Source organism: Homo sapiens, chromosome 20 (genome assembly GCF_000001405.40).
Source record: "Homo sapiens chromosome 20, GRCh38.p14 Primary Assembly".
Taxonomy (NCBI): Eukaryota; Metazoa; Chordata; class Mammalia; order Primates; family Hominidae; genus Homo; species Homo sapiens.
The window spans coordinates 10,008,323-10,026,247 of record NC_000020.11 but is presented as its reverse complement, the minus strand read 5'-3'; the positions used below and the strand labels follow the sequence as shown (position 1 = coordinate 10,026,247).

At 36.2% G+C, this 17,925-nt stretch overlaps 1 long non-coding RNA gene across 1 annotated transcript in view; it reads left to right on the top strand.

Moving 5' to 3' along the window:
- Positions 1–2,436, top strand: part of SNAP25-AS1 (SNAP25 antisense RNA 1) — a 195,695-nt gene extending 193,259 nt beyond the window's left edge. Inside the window, exon 5 of the long non-coding RNA NR_040710.1 lies at positions 82–2,436. This is a non-coding gene — a long non-coding RNA (SNAP25 antisense RNA 1). The remainder of the gene's footprint in view (positions 1–81) is intronic.
- The last annotated feature ends 15,489 nt before the right edge of the window (positions 2,437–17,925 follow it).

Here is a 17,925-nt window from a genome sequence, read left to right as displayed (position 1 = left end):
AGTACTTTCTTCTTTTACTCTATCTTGACATTTGTCTGAAACATTTTTGTTTGTTTGTTTGTTTGTTTGTTTGTTTTTTAGAGATGGGGTCTTGCTATGTTTCCCAGTTGGAGTGCAGTGATTATTCACAGACATGATCCCACTACTGATCAGCATGGGAGTTTTCACCTGCTCCATTTCCCACCTGGGAGGTCATCATATTGATGGCGAGCTAAGTGTGGACACCTGATCAGCATAGCACAGTACAGCCCAGAACCCCTGGGCTCCAGTGATCCTCTTACTTCAGCCTCTTGAGTAGCTGGAACTACAGGCCTGCACCACTGCACCCGGCTAGTTTGTTTTTGTTAGAGTTTTGTCTCTAGGATTTTCCTCAGCTGAGTATGTGAAGGCTAACTTCTCCTTGTGAATCTGCAAATATCCTTATTTTACCCTTTATTTTACCATGTATCATTTACAGGTAAATGATATCTTAGCTGTGTATTGAATTTCTGTTTTTTGTTTTTTCTTCAGTACTCTATAAATATTACTCCAGTATCTTCTAGCTTCTCCCATTTTCTCCTAGTGAATGGTTATTCTGCTCTTATCTAGCAGGTGATAAATCTGTCAACAGATAGTTTTTCCTTTTTGTTTTATGTGTAAGTTGTTATTTCTTCCTTAAAGTTCATAATCTTTTCCCATTTATTCTCTAAATTTTAGACTATAACCAGGATGTGTTTAGGTTGATATCTTTGCTTATCTATTCTGCCTGGAAATCAGGAACCTCTTCCAATATTCAGACTTGTGTTTTCAGCTCAGAATAATTATTTTATCATTTGTTTGATTATTCCTTTAGTTGCACTGGATCTTAGTTAAAATGCCCATTCTGATTCAAAGTATCTGGAAGGCAAGTATTTGTCAACTAAGGGAAAGGTGACCATGCATCATTGGTTTTGCTGAGACTACCTGGTTTACACCTTCAGGCTTTATACTTAGAAAATATTGCGATCATCTTCTGGTCATGAAGTTACAAACTTCAGGACAAAGGCTAACCAGCTAAGACTAGCAGAGCAAATTCCAAGAACTTGGGGCTTTAATTAACTTGAATTGATTTGGACTTGCCCTACCTTTAACTTCACACTGAGATAAAAATTCCCCACATTTTCAAGCCATTTTTGAGATGAGTCTCTTATGGTTGAAAGCATCCTAATTTATACAACATCCTTTTGGTACCTAACTAAATATTCACCAATATTTGGCACATTTGTTAAATCTTTTGGTGTGTGCCTCTTCTATGTAATGTAAATATGGTCTGAATATCCATTCAGAAATTATAGTTGATTTGCAAAAATAACTACTATATCACCTATATTAATTGATAGTTATTCCTTCCCAACCTTCTTTCACTCTTCCATATATATACAGAGTAAATCTACATCATTATGTTGATTAAACAAAATAGCAGTGAAATCAGGATGTTACTGCTCATTGTGCATTTATTTCAATTATGGAAAAAGCCAACACTTTACTCCCTTATTTAACACTTCTGTAGAAAAGCAGTTGAAATAACCTAGTGTCATTCTAAAATGATTTGTATACTATGTAGACCAGAATCTAGGGCTATACCTAAAAATACATAAATGAAATTATTCTAGAAGTTAAATCTTCATGAAAAAACAAATTAAATGGTTTACTAACCTCAAGCTGATTAAATGTTTTTATTAAATGCAGCCTCAGCCAGCACCTCTTTTCATGGCTGCAATAATTAAGTATAATAAATATTCAAATCAGTAATTGAATTTGTTAAAAAAAACATGCTCAGCTCAGTGAAGACTTTCTAATAAATAGAATTCAGGTACCATATTTTCATACTTCATGACACTTGCCTCATCTTAGTTTGATGACTGCCGTTTCTTGCACTGTAACAAGATTTTATTTTTATTTTGTTTTACGCTATTCAAACAAATACATTCAAAGTCATAGGCTACACCTATGTATAACCATATTCTGAGAGTTGGCTTATGTGTTTGTTTATTTTCTCACAATTAAAGATAGGTCAGATGTTGCCAAATTAGTAAATAACTAAACTTGAGATGGGAAATACTCTAGAGACACAATCTGCTTAGTTTTGCATAGTTTTGCATAGTTTTAGTCACTTTTCCCGTTACTCTGTCCAGCTTTCCAGTAATACTCATAACATTGCCTTGATTTCATATGACCACGCAGTAAAGTGATTACTGCACTTAGAATTTTGTTGCTTTTGCTGTGCTAACAACTTAAAAGTTTAAAATAACTGATGTTCAAAACAGTGAAGATTTCCTTTTATAAACAAGTTGGAAAGGAAAGTTTTTATGTTATTATCCTCAAGTATTCTAACTAATATAAAATGTCTTTCAGTCTTTTAGGCAAACCATTTAGACAAAAAGTACAAATAATAAATTTACATTGTGTTAAGCTGCGATCATATTTCTTTCTCTTGATTTACTTTTGAAATTTTCCTTATGCACCTGGTGATACTGAAAGATGAGTCAAATAGTGTAATACAATAGGGCAATATGAACTTCTGTTGTAGTTTCCATTAGTTGCATCAATTCAAATTGCACCTGGAAAAGATCTAAGCACGACATAAAGCCAAGACAGCACATAAGGGTGATGGCAAACAATAATAATATTTACATCTTTTTTTTTTTTTTTTTTGGAGACAGAATCTCACTCTGTCGGCCAGGCTGGAGTGCAGTGGCGTGATCTCGGCTCACTGCAACCTCCGCCTCCTGGGTTCAAGCGATTCTCCTGCCTCAGCCTCCTGAGTAGCTGGGACTACAGGGTCCTGCCACGATGCCCAGCTAATTTTGGTATTTTTAGTAGAGACGGGGTTTCACCATATTGGCCAGGATGGTCTCAAACTCCTGACCTTGTGATCCACCCAATCTTCATTGCATCATTTAACTTTCATTGGTATCACAGTAATTCACTAACATTCATTCCTTACAGGCAGTTATGAATAATTGAAAAATTTTTAACATCATCTCATGGGCAAAAGAATATTTATTCATTGGCTTAGCTTAACAAATCATTATTAAACACCTACTGTGTGCCAGGCACTGTTCTAGACACTGGAGTTACAGCAGTGAACAAAATAAACACGCTCTCCAGTCTGGTGGAGTTCACATACTGGTGCGGGGAGAGAGATGCATACAAACAAAAATGCATATTTAATACTTCACCAATTGATAGGTGCTATGAAGAAAAATAAACCATAGTAAGGATGACATAGAGTGCTGGATGGAGGTTTTAGTACATATACGTTAGCCAGAGAAGGCATCTCTGAGAAGTTGCCATTTGAGAAAAAGAGGGAGTAGGCTCAGTGGATTCTGAGGGAAGAATAAGTTTGAGATTCTGAGTCATTCATGTCCTTGGCAGATCAATAAAGAGGAAGCAGATGCTGTGGCCGGAACTCAGTGTGCATGTTGGGGCAGTGGTAGGAGGCTATGGTTGTAAGACAGGGCTACCTCCCATAGGGTCTTGAAGACCATAGTAAAGACTGTGGCATCTCCTCTCCAGTAGTTTGAGCAGAGGAATGGTAGCATTCTACTTAGGATTTAAAAGGTTTGCTCTAGCTGATTTGTGGAGAATAGGTTTGTAAGGCAGCATAGTGAATGAAAGGAGAAAAGTTAGGCGATTGCAAACATCCAGGTGAGAGTTGATATCAGACGGTGATGGTGTCACAGATGCGTTTCATGCGATGGGCTCAATTAATGGCCTCCATGTTTCACCCTTCTCTTTCTTGGGACTGGCTTGCCTGCTGGAAGGTGAGGAAACAGCCTGTCATCCCAGCTGAGGCCATCCTAGATCAGCCAACTGTCAGCTGCTTGTGTGTCAGTGAACCCCAGCCAAGACCGGAAGACCTGCCCAGCTGAGCTCAGCCAAGATCAGCAAAACCTCTCAGCTTATAACCTTATAAACTTACCAATTTAGGTGTGGTTGTGACACAGAATTATTGTATTATTGTATGCATGGTGAGTATTGTATATTACACATGGGAATCATAGAAACAGTGAAAAGCCAGTAATTTCTGAGTATATATTAAAGTTAGGGCAAATTGTGTGAGGTGGAGAAGCCACATACTCCAAATTTCTGGCCTGAGACATTGGAAGAATGAATATGGATGATGGAGGTGGATATTGAATCTGAAATGAATTTTTCATTTTGTGAAATTTTGTGAAGTTTCATTTTGTGTTGAATATCTTGTGACTCACCGAAATGAAAATCATAAAATAAAATTTGTCCTTAATGCCTAAAATTTTATAATGTTGTTCTATTCTTTAGGAAAAAAAATTCTGGCTGGGCGTGGTGGCTCACGTCTGTAATCCCAACAGTTTGGGAGGCCATTGAGGTCAGGAGTTCACGACCAGCATGGCCAACATGGTGAAACCCCATCTCTTAAAAAAAGAAAAAAAAAAACTATCAAACATCAGCATGGCTTTGGCTAGAGACACAACAGAAATAAAAACCCAGTTAAAAACCTGCTTCTCTTTAGTCACTTTGCTAGAGAAAAAGTGTCAAAGTCATATGGCCTAATTATTTTCAAAAATAATGTTATTAAATATTTCTCCACTAATTGTGGAACTGGACCTTGGTAGATGCTGGCCCTTTACCTGACCAGTGTGTTTCCTCCCAGCTGCTGTGACTGCTACTGCTAGTAGCTCACAGCCGTTCACTCTCCCGGGAAATGCCCTTGGCCAGTGGGGCCCACCTACCAAGAGACGTCTGGAAGTTACAGTGCACTCACCCATCAAATGAATAGTGCAGGGGTACAAAAAGCCAGCACCTTGCCTCATGGTTGGAGAACTCAATTTTGTCTATAATGCAGACAGAAGTCAGCATTGTCGTTTCCTCCTAATTAATAAATATTTAATACTAGTTTTCCATTGCACAGAAATTAAAACCCTATAGTATCTCATTGCTTCCTCTTATCTAAAAACATTTAAGTCACTGTTTAGTATCCTTGGTTCTTGTGCTGTTTTCTGTAACTGTGCTGCCTCAAGTTACTTCTTGTTGAAGAGCTAGCAGAGTTATGGGACAGAATTTGGCAGTGCTGCATGGAATGTCACTTGAGTGGAGTTTGTCAATAGAACAGCACTTCACCATTCGCACCCAGAGCTGCTCTGGTAATCAGCAAAGGCCAGATTCCAGTTAGATCCCCATCTCTGCTCAGCCCCCTTCTCCTGTCCTTTGCTGTTCTCCTTAGCATCTTACCAATTTCTTCTGAGAGCACTTCCTCAATAAATCACCGAGCAAGAAAGAATCCCTGCCTTGTGCTCTATTTCTAGGAAGCCTGAAGTAAGACAAGGCTTGATTAATATTGCAAAGTACATCTAGGGTAGTAATGCCATAGGAAGATGAATATTGTTAAATGCCTCCAGTGTGGTGGCTTTTTACAAAAACGTTCACTTTATCTTTGAAAGATATCACATTAGTAGCCTTTCATGCCAATGCAGCAACTTACATACTGATTTTCATAAAATTATTATTGTGAAATTTGGGGGGAAGATGCGTATTACATATACAGAGCAGGGTTAATCTGGCTGGGGGAAAAGAGTCTTATATGTAACTAAATCCCGAGTCAACAAAATTTAAGGAATCATGCATTTGTTTAATTTGTTTCATTGTTTCCTAAAACCACATTGCAAGTTAAGAGAATATATTGTCATGACTATAAATGCTTTATTGAATTTGATCGGTTCCTGTAATTATGTATGAAAAACGAGACTTCACAGCCTTTATTCAGAATCATACTTTATATTGCTTATGTCTGACTCTGTAACAGTTCATAAAATTATATAGCATGTTTGGATATGATGAAAATTTAGCATTATCTAACATAAAGCCAAAAGAGAGAGATGTTGGAGAAATCTAGTCCAATTCTTTTATTATTCAGTTGAAGTAATTGTAAGTTACAAATATTAAGTGGTTTGTCCAAAATCAGAAAGGTAATTGGTGTCAGATCTGGAACCAGAAAGTAGAACAGGGTTTAGGAAACATATTCATTATAAGGTTTAACTGTTGTAATTGTTGCTATTTTTGAAAAAAGAATAAAAAATGCATTAAAATGAAATGGATAATTGACAATTATCAAAATAATTGTTTCAAATGAATCACTTATCTACATAATTCAGACAAAAGTCAGCATTGTAGTTTCCTCCTAATTAAATAGATATTTAATACCAGTTTTCCATTGCATGAAAATTAAAACAGAAAAGCCTTTAGAATCTTATTGCTTCCTCTTATTTAAAAACATTTAATTCATTGTGTTAAGTAGTAACCTTGGGCTGCGTCAAGTCACTTCTTGTTGGAGAGCTAGCGGAGTTACGGGACAGAATTTGCCAGTGCTGTGTGGAATGTCACGTGAGTTCAGTTTGTCAATAGAGAAGCACTTCACAAACTTAATGTTCACAAGAATCATCTGGAAGTCTTGTTAAAAGGCAAGTTTTAAAGTGCATGGCCACAAAAATGAAATTAAGAAAATTTCAGAATTTTATTAATTATGAGAATTATGTAATTAAGAAGAATAAATATTTGGAAAAAGTTTAACAAAAGAAGTGCAAGACTTGCAACTGAAAACTACAAATCATTGTTGACAGAAATTGAGGAAGACCAAATAAATGGTAAGCTATTGCACGTGCATGGATGGGAAGACGATGTTAACATGGTAGTATTCCCAAAATTGGACTACAGATTCAACACAATCCTTATCAAAATCCTAGCTGTCTTTCTTGCAGAAGTTGACATGGCTGATTATAAAGTCCATATGGAAATGCAAGGGATGCAGTAAGAAGAGTCAAAACACTCTTGAAAAACAAACAAAGTTAGAGAACTAACACTTTAGAGTTCAAAATTTACTACAAAGCTGTAGTAAACAAAACTGTGGTACTGGCATAAGGATAGAGATATAGGTCAATGGAATCTACTAAGAGTACAGAAATAAACCAATACACCTATGGTCAGTTGAATTTTAACAACGTTTCAAGACCATCTAATGGGGAAAAGAAGAGTCTTTTCAGTAAATGATACAGGGACAACTGGATATCTACATGCAAAATAATAAAGTGGGACCTCTACCTCACATCTTATACAAAAAAATTAACTCAAAATGGACCAAAGACCTAAATATAAAAGGTAAAATTATAAAATTCTTAGCCAAAAACATAGCAGTAAGTCTTTGTGACCTTGGATTAGGCATAATACCTCTTAAATGTAAAACCTAAATACAAGTAACCAAAGAGAAAATAGATAAATAGGACATCATTAAAAAAAACTTTTGTGTTATAAAGAATACTATCAAGAAGTAAAAACCCACAGATTGGGAGAAAATATTCGCAAATCATATATCTGATAAAGTTATAGTATCCAGAATATATAAAGGACTCTTACAACTCATCAATAAAAGACAAGTGACTCAATTAAAAAATAAAAGAGTTGAATACTTATCCAAAGAAACATATAAATGACCAATAACACATGAAAAAAAATCTCAACATTATTAGTCATGAGGGAAATGCAAGTCAGAGTTACATTGAAATATTACTTCATACTCATGAGGATGGCTAGAATCAAAAACATGGACAATACCAGGTGTTGGTGAGGATGTGGATGGAACCCTTAGACATCACTGATGGGAATGTATAATAGTGCACCCGTTTTGGAAAACAGTCTTGCAGTTTCTCAAAAATTTAAACATAGAGCTATCATATTATCTAGCAATTCCCACCCCCAGGTATATATATACCCAAGAAAATTGAAAACATATGTTCACACAGAAACTTCTATATGAGTGTTCATAGCAGCATTATTCATAATAGTCAAAAAGGGAAACAACCCAAATGCCCATCAATTAATGAATAAACAAACAAAATGTGGTATATCCATAAAATAGAATATTAGCTATAAAAAGGATTAAAGTACTGATACATGCCTCAACATGAATAAATCATAGAAATACTAAATGCAATGAATTAAATGTTTTTAAACAAGAGGAAGCAATAAGATTCTAAAGGCTTTTCTGTTTTAATTTTCATGCAGTGGAAAACTAGTATTAAATATCTATTTAATTAGGAGGAAACTACAATGCTGACTTTTGTCTGAATTATGTAGATAAGTGAGTCATTTGAAACAATTATTTCGATAATTGTCAATTATCCATTTCATTTTAATGCAATTTTTTCTTTTTTCAATAATAGCAATAATTACAACAGTTAAACCTTATAATGAATATGTTTCCTAAACCCTGTTCTACTTTCTGGTTCCAGATCTGACACCAATTACCTTTCTGATTTTGGACAAACCACTTAATATTTGTAACTTACAATTACTTCAACTGAATAATAAAAGAATTGGACTAGATTTCTCCAACAGCTCTCTCTTTTGGCTTTATGTTAGATAATGCTAAATTTTCATCATATCCAAACATGCTATATAATTTTATGAACTGTTACAGAGTCAGACATAAGCAATATAAAGTATGATTCTGAATAAAGGCTGTGAAGTCTCGTTTTTCATACATAATTACAGGAACCGATCAAATTCAATAAAGCATTTATAGTCATGACAATATATTCTCTTAACTTGCAATGTGGTTTTAGGAAACAATGAAACAAATTAAACAAATGCATTGTGTATACAGTCTGTCATTGAGCAAAACTTTGTTATGCAACTTATGACTGTATTTAAAGTGTACGATGTAGTGGAGTTTCTTGTATATTCACCGTATTGTATGATCATCATTATACTTAATTCCAGAATATTTTCATCACTCCAAAAAAGAAATCCTGGACCCATTAGCAGTCACTCCTCATTTGCTCCTTCCCTAATCCCTAGGCAACCACCAATCTCCTGTCTCTATGGATTTGCCTATTCTGAACATTTTATATACATTCATGTAAATTTCATATAGGTGAAATAATACTTGGCTTTTATCAATTAAAATAATATTTCTATGAAATTTACATGAATTTTAAAAATAGAAGAAAGCTTATAGAATAAGGGTATAAAGAAAATATTTTTGTATGATGTGTTTGTTTTAAGCTAAGTGTTATTATGACAGAGTCAAAAAGTTTTAAAAAACTAAAATATATAAAGTTTACACTAAGTTAAGGTTAATTTATTATTAAAGAAACAAAAACATTTTTCATAAGTTCAGTGTAGCCTTGGTGTTCAGTGTTTATAAAGTCTACAGTGGTATATATACAGGAATGTTGTAGGCCTTCACATTCACTCACCACTCTCTTGTTTACTCACTCAGACAAACTTCCAGTCCTGCAAGCTTCATTCATAGTAAGTGCCCTTTATAAGTGTACCATGTTTTGTTTTTTATACCATCTTTTTACTGTATCTTTTCTATATTTAGATTCACTAATACTTACCATTGTGTTATAATTGCCTACAGTATACGGTAAAGAGTATAGTAACATGTTGTACAGGTTTGTAGCTTAAAGGCAATAGGCTTATAGCCTAGGTATATAGGCTATGCCATCCAGGTTTGTGTATGTATCTGATACGGTTTGGCTGTGTCCCCACCCAAAATCTCATGTTGAATTGTAATAATCCCCACATGTCAAAGGTGGGACCAGGTGAAGATAATTGAATCATGGGGGTGGTTTCCCCTATTCTGTTCTTGTGACAGGGAGTGAATTCTCATGAGATCTGATGATTTTATTACAAGTGGCTTCCCCCTTCTCTCGGCTCTCATTCTTGCTCCTGCCACCATGTGAAGAAGGGCGTGTTTGCTTCCCTTTCCACCGGGATTGTAAGTTTCCTGAGGCCTCCCCAGCCATGCGAAACTGTGAGTCAATTAAACCTCTTTCCTTTATAAATTACGCAGTCTCTGATATGTCTTTATTAGCAGTGTGAGAATGGACTAATACAATATCCCTGTTGTTTAGCAATGCATAACTGTAGATAAATCTTATAGAGTATGAATTAGCTTATATGTCAATTTTTAAAAATGCATATCTAGAGTGGGGCTCAGGATTCTGGTTTTCTGAAAGCTCTGGGGTGATATTGATGCTCCTTGGGATTAAAAAGGCCTTAGAGAACCCATTCCAAGCTCTGGTGAGGGATATATCACTCTACTTCTGAACATAATATTAGTGATATGTAATTTTTCTGGAAGGGGAAGTTTCTCTTATATCTCCACTGTTAAGGCAGTAACTCTGAACAACAGATCTTGGGTCAATGTGCGATGTATGTATCTGGCAATGTGACATAGACCTGGTGTCATTAAGGTGGTATCTGATTCATGAGGATCAGAGTGGGCTCTAGTGGAGGGAACATCAGAGATATACAACATCTGGGAAACTAGACAGTAGGCTGAAAACTGTGTCAAGCAGGGCCTTACCATGAAAACGAAAGAATTCTAAGGTATTTACACAGAGGAAAATTTACTGGGAATTGGTCATATAGGTGATGGAGGAACTGAGTTAGTTGCCAAATGGAGTGGTGAGATACCCTAGAGTTTACATACAGTAGGAAACTACTAATAGCCCTTAATTGGAAATCAAAGGAAAGTGCTGTGTTAAGGAAGTCTGTGGGCCAGGTTATGCCTAAGAAATTGAAGCCGCAGTGAGTCTGTCTGGCAGGAGCTGGAGACACAGGAGGACACAGCTAGAGGCACTGCACAGAGAGGGGAAGAGCCACCCTTTCTCCCACCCTCCAGGTTCCTGGAAGAGCCTCCCACTGGGTATTGGGTGAAGCTCTTTTGGAACCAGCTATCTCGTGAGCCTGGGAAAGAGCCTATGGATATTTACCCCCTGAAATGCACTACCCACAGCAAGGAAAGAATAATGGTTTGGAGGGCAAATAGGCCAACACTGGCATAAGACCCTTAAGGATAGGGTGCATTTGTAATTTACCATCATAAATGCCAAGGAATAACAAAATGGAAAAGGGCTAGCTTGAAAAGCTATCAGCCTTCATGCTTCCCAACTTTGGTTGCACGTTAGAATCATCCAGGGAGGTTTTGAAAATTCCCTGCCCAGGCAGCACCGCAGACTAATTACATCAGAACCTCTGGGGATGGAACCCAAGCATCAGTATTTATTAGAGCTACCCATAATATTCCAACATCCAGCCACAGTTAAGAACCACCACTTTAAAAAAAGAGATTGTGCATATAATATTTTTATGTGACTTACTACCAGGAATTATAATAATAGAGGTCATAATTTTTCTATTAGCCTTGTAATTCAGTAGCAAAATAACTACAGCAAGAGGAAAAAGGAAGGAAATAAGGCTAGACAAGGAATCTTTGCAAATTGAATCTTTTTTTATGGTGAATATAATATTGTAGAGAGACACATGTAAAAGGTAAGCAAAATATTGGGGCGGCAGTCTTCAGCAGAGGAGCAATTCAAAGGGAGAGTCTGATTAGGAGGATGGAAAGCATCAGTCTAAGCTGATGGAAACAAGAGAATTTGAGGCAATACATTCAAGAGAAATTAGACAAATCAGCCAGACACTGTAGACAGGGCCACAAAAGAAGAAAAAGGGCAGAACCGGGGAAAGAATTGCATTCTTTTGACCATAAAAGTGAGAGGACCCAAGCGCATAATAGAAAAACTACAAGTAGGGTTGCAGTCAGTAGGCATGTGCACGTGCTGGTTCTGGTTGCTCAGGCAACAGAGGCCCTTTCCTCATGTAATCGCAGTATAATGAGGAAAATCACATGCAGATGTAGTAAAGAATAATTAGAGGTGAAGTCACACCTGGTCCAGGGAGCGTCTTCCTTTGGGGAATGCTAAGTAGGAATTTGGGTGAGATTTATGTGAGAGGTTGTGAAGGTGTGAAGGGGATAAATTTGATTTTTGTGTGAAAGCAGGAAGCTGAACCTTCTGTAAAGTGTCTGGTAATGGAGTATGAACCATGTGTCTACTTCTCCATATTGTTTCTTGATGCACTGTGTAAGTTCACCTGGGGATGGGGAAATCCAGACATCTGGGGCTTGGTTGGCTTTTCATTCAGAAAGCAGAAACACATTGATTTTTAGATGCAAGAGGGAAAATTACAATCTACAAAGATCACCCTGCCCTTTTTAAGATATGTAATTTTTTTTTTTTTTTTTTTACTCAGTTGTCCTGCTTCCCAAGTTATGGAAAAATTCTAATTTTGTGTTTAACATTTGAACATTTAAAAATATTGTTTAATATTGTGAAAGGATTATCTCCACATATTATCTTTGATATTTGAAGACACTTTCCAGTATTTTTTTATATATTAAAAAATAAATTCAATGAGGTATTTTACTTTTTAAGCAGTTTCTTTGTCAGTGATTGAAGCAGAAGACAAAATGCTTAAAATCTTAGAGGAATGTTTCACAAACTTGAATGTGCATAAGAATCACCTGGAGATCTTATTAAATTTCAAATTCTGCTGGTCTGAGGTGGGGCCTGCCATTCTGCATTTCTAAGTAGCCCCCAGGTAATGCTGTTGCTGCTGGTCCAAGGACGTCACTTTGAGTGGCAAGATTTTAATTGATTATGGTAGTAACCAGAATCTATAAATGGTAATTTGACAGTTAAATATTAATCAAACATAGTATTTTTGTTTTATGAACTTTTTTCATTTGTGGAAACAATTTTTGTTGATTTATTTTCGTTTTATAAATTATACAATATATAGTTATTTTAAAAATTCAAAAATTATAGAAATATATAGAGTAAAAGTAAAAGTCCATCTTCATTCTTCATTGAAACCTTTTCTCTTTTCTAATTTCTCTTCTCTGTGGATAATATTTTGGTATAATAAGCATATATATATATATACACACATACACACAAACACACACATATAAAAATAACTGAGGGTAGTATAATGAATACTTTGGTATTTATAGAGAACTTTTACAATGCATTTAGAAGTGGATACACACATGTGCACACATCCACATACATAAAATATAAGACAGGATCACATTGTATGCAATTTTTTTCCATGTGCTTTTAAAAAACTTAACAACTTCAAATTGACATTTTTTCCATGTCAATATTTATTTAATTTTGTGACTGCATACCAGTCCATTCTATTGATTGAGGTTATTTCCATCGGTCACTTTTAGAAATAACAATCATTTTTACACGTATTTTTGCACATATGTGAGTATTTTAGTAGGCTAATGGCTAAGTTAAAGTTGATTTTTAATTTGACTAGTAATGCCAAATTGATTTCCAACATTGTGGAGTAGAAAGCTATTTTCCTACTTCCTCATTGAACACTGGATATCAGAGCTCTTTTAAAATTTTTGTAAACTTTATAAATGTTTGTTGTTATTTTTAAGTTGCATTTCCCCAATTGTGAGTTTGAACATTTTTTTCATACATTTACTATTTATTCTTTTGAAAATTGCTTATAGACACTATTCCCATTTTTATTTCTATTGACTTGTTTGTTTTTAATATTGATTGATGGGAACTTTGCGTATGACGGATGTCAACTTTTTGTCCAATATTTGTATACACACATGCATATTTTTGCCAGAGGCAGAATAGCACGCTGGTAAGTAAGTGAGGAGCACTGGCTCCGAGTTTGCATCTTGGTTTCACCACTTGGCAGCTGTGTGACCTTTGATAGGCTATTTAACTTCCCTATATTTCAGTTTCCTCAACTGTGTAAAGTGTAAATGGAATAATAATGGTATGCACCACATATTTAAATACCATTTATTTATTCCTTTTCTACGCATATGAATGCTATCTTTATTATAATATTTCCAGCTGTTCTTATGCATGTACTCTTAGAGATAGCATTTTGAATCAACTGGAATAACTTCATTTAAAATTACCCTTAGAGTTTTAATAGGGATAACGCTGAATAGATTAAGAAAAAATTTAAAACTTATAAATTTGAGGCTTCCCATTTCAAGCCATGTTACTCACTTTCTGATGTTTAGGTTTATTTTTCTGACTTTAAATATGAGTTTTTAGTAACTTTAAGGTTTTATGGGGAAACAGATATTATGCTTTTGCTGTATTTTGAATGGGATCTTTTTATTGATGGCTCATTGTTACTATATTGAAATGATGGTTTTTGTATGTTTTGCTATCCCTAGACATCTTGCAAATCTATTTATTTAATGTGTTTTTATTTCATTATTTTAAATTTTAATGTGAAAGGATTTATTTTTTTCTAGTATTTATCAATGTTTTGGTCTCTTTTTATAGGACCCTCAGGAGTATTTTGAATAATGGGGATTTGTGGAATTATTGCCTTGCCTGTGATTTTAATGAGAATAAGTCTAACATTTTATCACTGGTATTTGACAGTTTTTTTGAAGGCAATCTGTCAAATTTAGGAAATGTCTTCTTTTTCCCAACTCCCTGAGAGTTTTTAATTTTTTAGACAGGGGTGGCTAATATAGTCTGTCAAATACTTTTCCAAAGACTGTTGAGATAGTATATGTTCTGCTCATTTATTCTATTAATCCAGTGCTTTAAACATGCATGCGTTTCCTATTACTACAACATTCTTGCATTCCTAAAATAAACCTTCCTTGATCGCCATGCATTGTTAATACTTTAAGATGTTGCTGCAGTAAATTTGAAAATATTGTATTCATTATTTTTATTTGCATCGAGCTTAATGTCTATTCTCTTTACTGGTGCTCTCTTTATTGGGCATAATATTAGCATTCGTCAAGCCACATGTAATTATTTAGGAAGGTTTTCATCTTTTTAATGTTCTGGAATAGATTATAAATGTTAAAGGGATTATTTATTCGTTAAAATTTTTATAGAAATCCCTCCCCACAAACCAGTAAGGCTTGCTGTCAAATTAGGGAATATGGCGGTGCAAAGACTAGATCTTTGACTTTCATCTCAAGTTCTTCAATAATGTTGATTTTCTAAGCTGGGCATGGTGGCTCATGCCTGTAATCCCAGCACTTTGGGGGCCCAAGGTGGGCGGATCACCTGAGGTCAGGAGTTTGAGACCAGCCTGGCTAACATGGCGAAACCCCATCTCCATTAAAAATACAAAAAAGTTAGCCAGGCATGGTGGTGGGTACCTGTAGTCCCAGCTCCTTGGAAGGCGGAGGCACAAAAATTGCTGGAACCCGGGTGGCGGAGGTTGCAGTGAGCCGAGATCACGCCACTGCACTCCAGCCTGGGCGACAGAGTGAGACTCTGTCTCAAAATAATAATAATAATAATAATGTTGATTTTCTAATTTGAAGTATATTTAAAGTCAATAAGCAAACATTCAAAAACACTTGTATGACTCTCCTAAATCTTTATTATTTAAATAGTTTTCTATTGTACTCGAAAAGATTTGAAGGTATATCCTTCTGTGTCCAAAAGGTCAGTATAATATTATGTATACATTATCTTCGTAGCACAACTATTTGGAATAAGCTTTTCTTCAGAGATGTATCGGCATAAAGGAGCTCTGATTTGTTTAAATATTTTAAAAGGTATTAAAATATATTTTCATTTGAGAACCTCCCCTATATACTCAGGAAAGCTCACCTTTTCAAAACCTGAGTGTTAACTCTTTCCAAACGTTCTGTAATGTTTATCAAAAACAAAAAATAATGAAAAGAGGTGAACATTATTTTGGAGAGCCTCATTGTCTTCATCTACTCAGATCATCCACAATCACTGGAGAGGAGGCAGAATTTTGTCAATGGGACAGCAGTCACTTGACCCAGAATCCTCTACAGATTCCCTCCAGGGAGCCCTTCCCATTGGCTCTTTCCTAATAATTTCATGTTTTTGGGTTTCCTCAGTAAAACTTTGGTCTTAACAAAAGTCTTTATTCCCCTGTTATAATTATCACCCTAACTACAGGCAAGAAAAAAAATAATCTACCACTTATATCAGTCAACTACTGCCGCTATAATGTTACCTCATAGATTCACCCACAAATTTAGTGGTCACAGAAGTAAGCATCTGCTGTCATGCTTGGATTCTTGAGTTGACTGCTATTGACTCATTTAGAATATGCTTGATTGGGCAGCTCTATTTCCGTATTTATGTTCCAAGACTGAAGCTCTTGGCTATGATGGGTTCAAGTTTGCTCCACGTTTCCTTCCAGGGCCTAGGCTGAAGGAGAAGACATAGCAGCCCATGGGACATGTTCGTCTCATGGATGATCACAATTGCCAAGAAGATAAGCCAGCATACAGGTTATGCCAGGTCTGCTAACAACTTCTTTTCCAAAGCAAGTTACATGGCCAAATCTAGAATCAAGGGGTGGGGCAGTTCACTCAGTCCACTAGGCAGTAGTATGAATTTATAACTTAATTAAGAGGAAATGAAGAATTGGGGTGAATTTTTAAAATCTATGATACCACTGAGAGTATTTCCTTTCTGGACTCTTTCGGCTCTGCCCATGCTTCTAGCCCTGGTGAAATCCACTGTGTTTAAGACCTATTTTCATATCTTGTCATCCAGCTTTTCTATCAGAAAGCACTCATTATTTGAGTGGCTCCATCTTAGTAATGAACCAGAGCAATGACTAGTAAGAGAAAATTTAAAAATATCCATCAGTCCCCATGTAGTCTTCACAGAAACAGAGCCAAACAGTTGTTACTTAACATAGTTCAGTGAGGTTCTTGGTTTATAGGTGAAAGCAATAAACATGTTGGTTTCTTTTCTTTCCTCATTTGTTCTGCAGCAATAGCAAAGGGGATTTTCATTAAAGTGATCCAATTCCAGTTTAAAGTTTTGGTCTGCAAAGTTTAACAAATAGTCTCAGTTTCAGAGTTCATTTTAACTGCCTCTAACCCTTTACTAATTAACTTACCATCTTTCCTTCTAGATGCTAGAAGAAGACTGTTGCTATTGTTTTTCTCCATGCTCAAGGATTTTTGTCCTTTGCAAAATAATCTCAGAATGTATTGTAGAAGCTACTGATGCCCCAATCTATGTCCGTCAGCCAAATGTCTGGATTCACTGCAGCTGCGCGACACACCCATGTCTTTCTACCTCAACTATCCACGCCTCTCTGCTTGCTTCTCTGCCTGTGGGGCTTTCTTGGCAGTACAGGAGTTTGCTCTGCCTAGAAGTGTAATGAGTTTAATTTCCCAGCAGCAATTTTCAACCAGTGAGAAACTGGAACTGGTGCATAAACAGCCCAGATTCCCTATCACCCTTTGGGCCACACTCTCAGAAAGCTTGAGATTGCGGTTACCTGCTCCCTGCTCCCTTGTGCACACACCTTTCATTGGCTGTCTTCCCTTTTCTACTTCACTCCTCACTCCCTTGTTGCACTTCCTGGGATCACCTGTCAAACTACCTGGGGCATGGTGACATGCATCTGTAGTCCCAACTACACAGGAGGTTGAGGTGAGAAGATCACTTGAACCCAGGAGTTCTAGTCCAGCCTGGGCAACATAGCAAGACTCCTGTCTCTTAAAAAATAAAATAAAATACATGTATCTACATCATTTTCTCAGGGTTGGCTTTTGGAGGAGCCTAAACTAAGACTGTAAGCAGGAAACACTGAGAGCTCTCCCTAAAATGCACAAAACTCAGAGAAACTAAAGCAATAAAGTAACTTAATTTATGTGTAGATAAAAAGTGTCTCAGAGATGGCATTGTTCTGTCAGAGCTGGCAAGTTAAAAAGCAGCCAAATACAAAAAATATGCACAGAAGAAAAAGAAAAACACTCATCCAGGTGCTGGTCTGTGTTTAAAGCACAGAGAGGTGCAGTTTAGTCTTAGGCTTCTTCTGTGCCCTGGTATATTAGTCTGTTCTCACTCTGCTATGAGGACATACCCGAGACTGAGTAATTTATAAAGTAAAGAGGTTTAGTTGACTCACAGTTCAACATGGCTGGGTAGGCCTCAGGAAACTTACAATCATGACAGAAGGGGAAGCAAACACGCCCTTGTTCACATGGCAGTAGCAAGGAGAAGTGCCACGCAAAAGGGGGAAAAGCCTGTTATAAAACCATCAGAT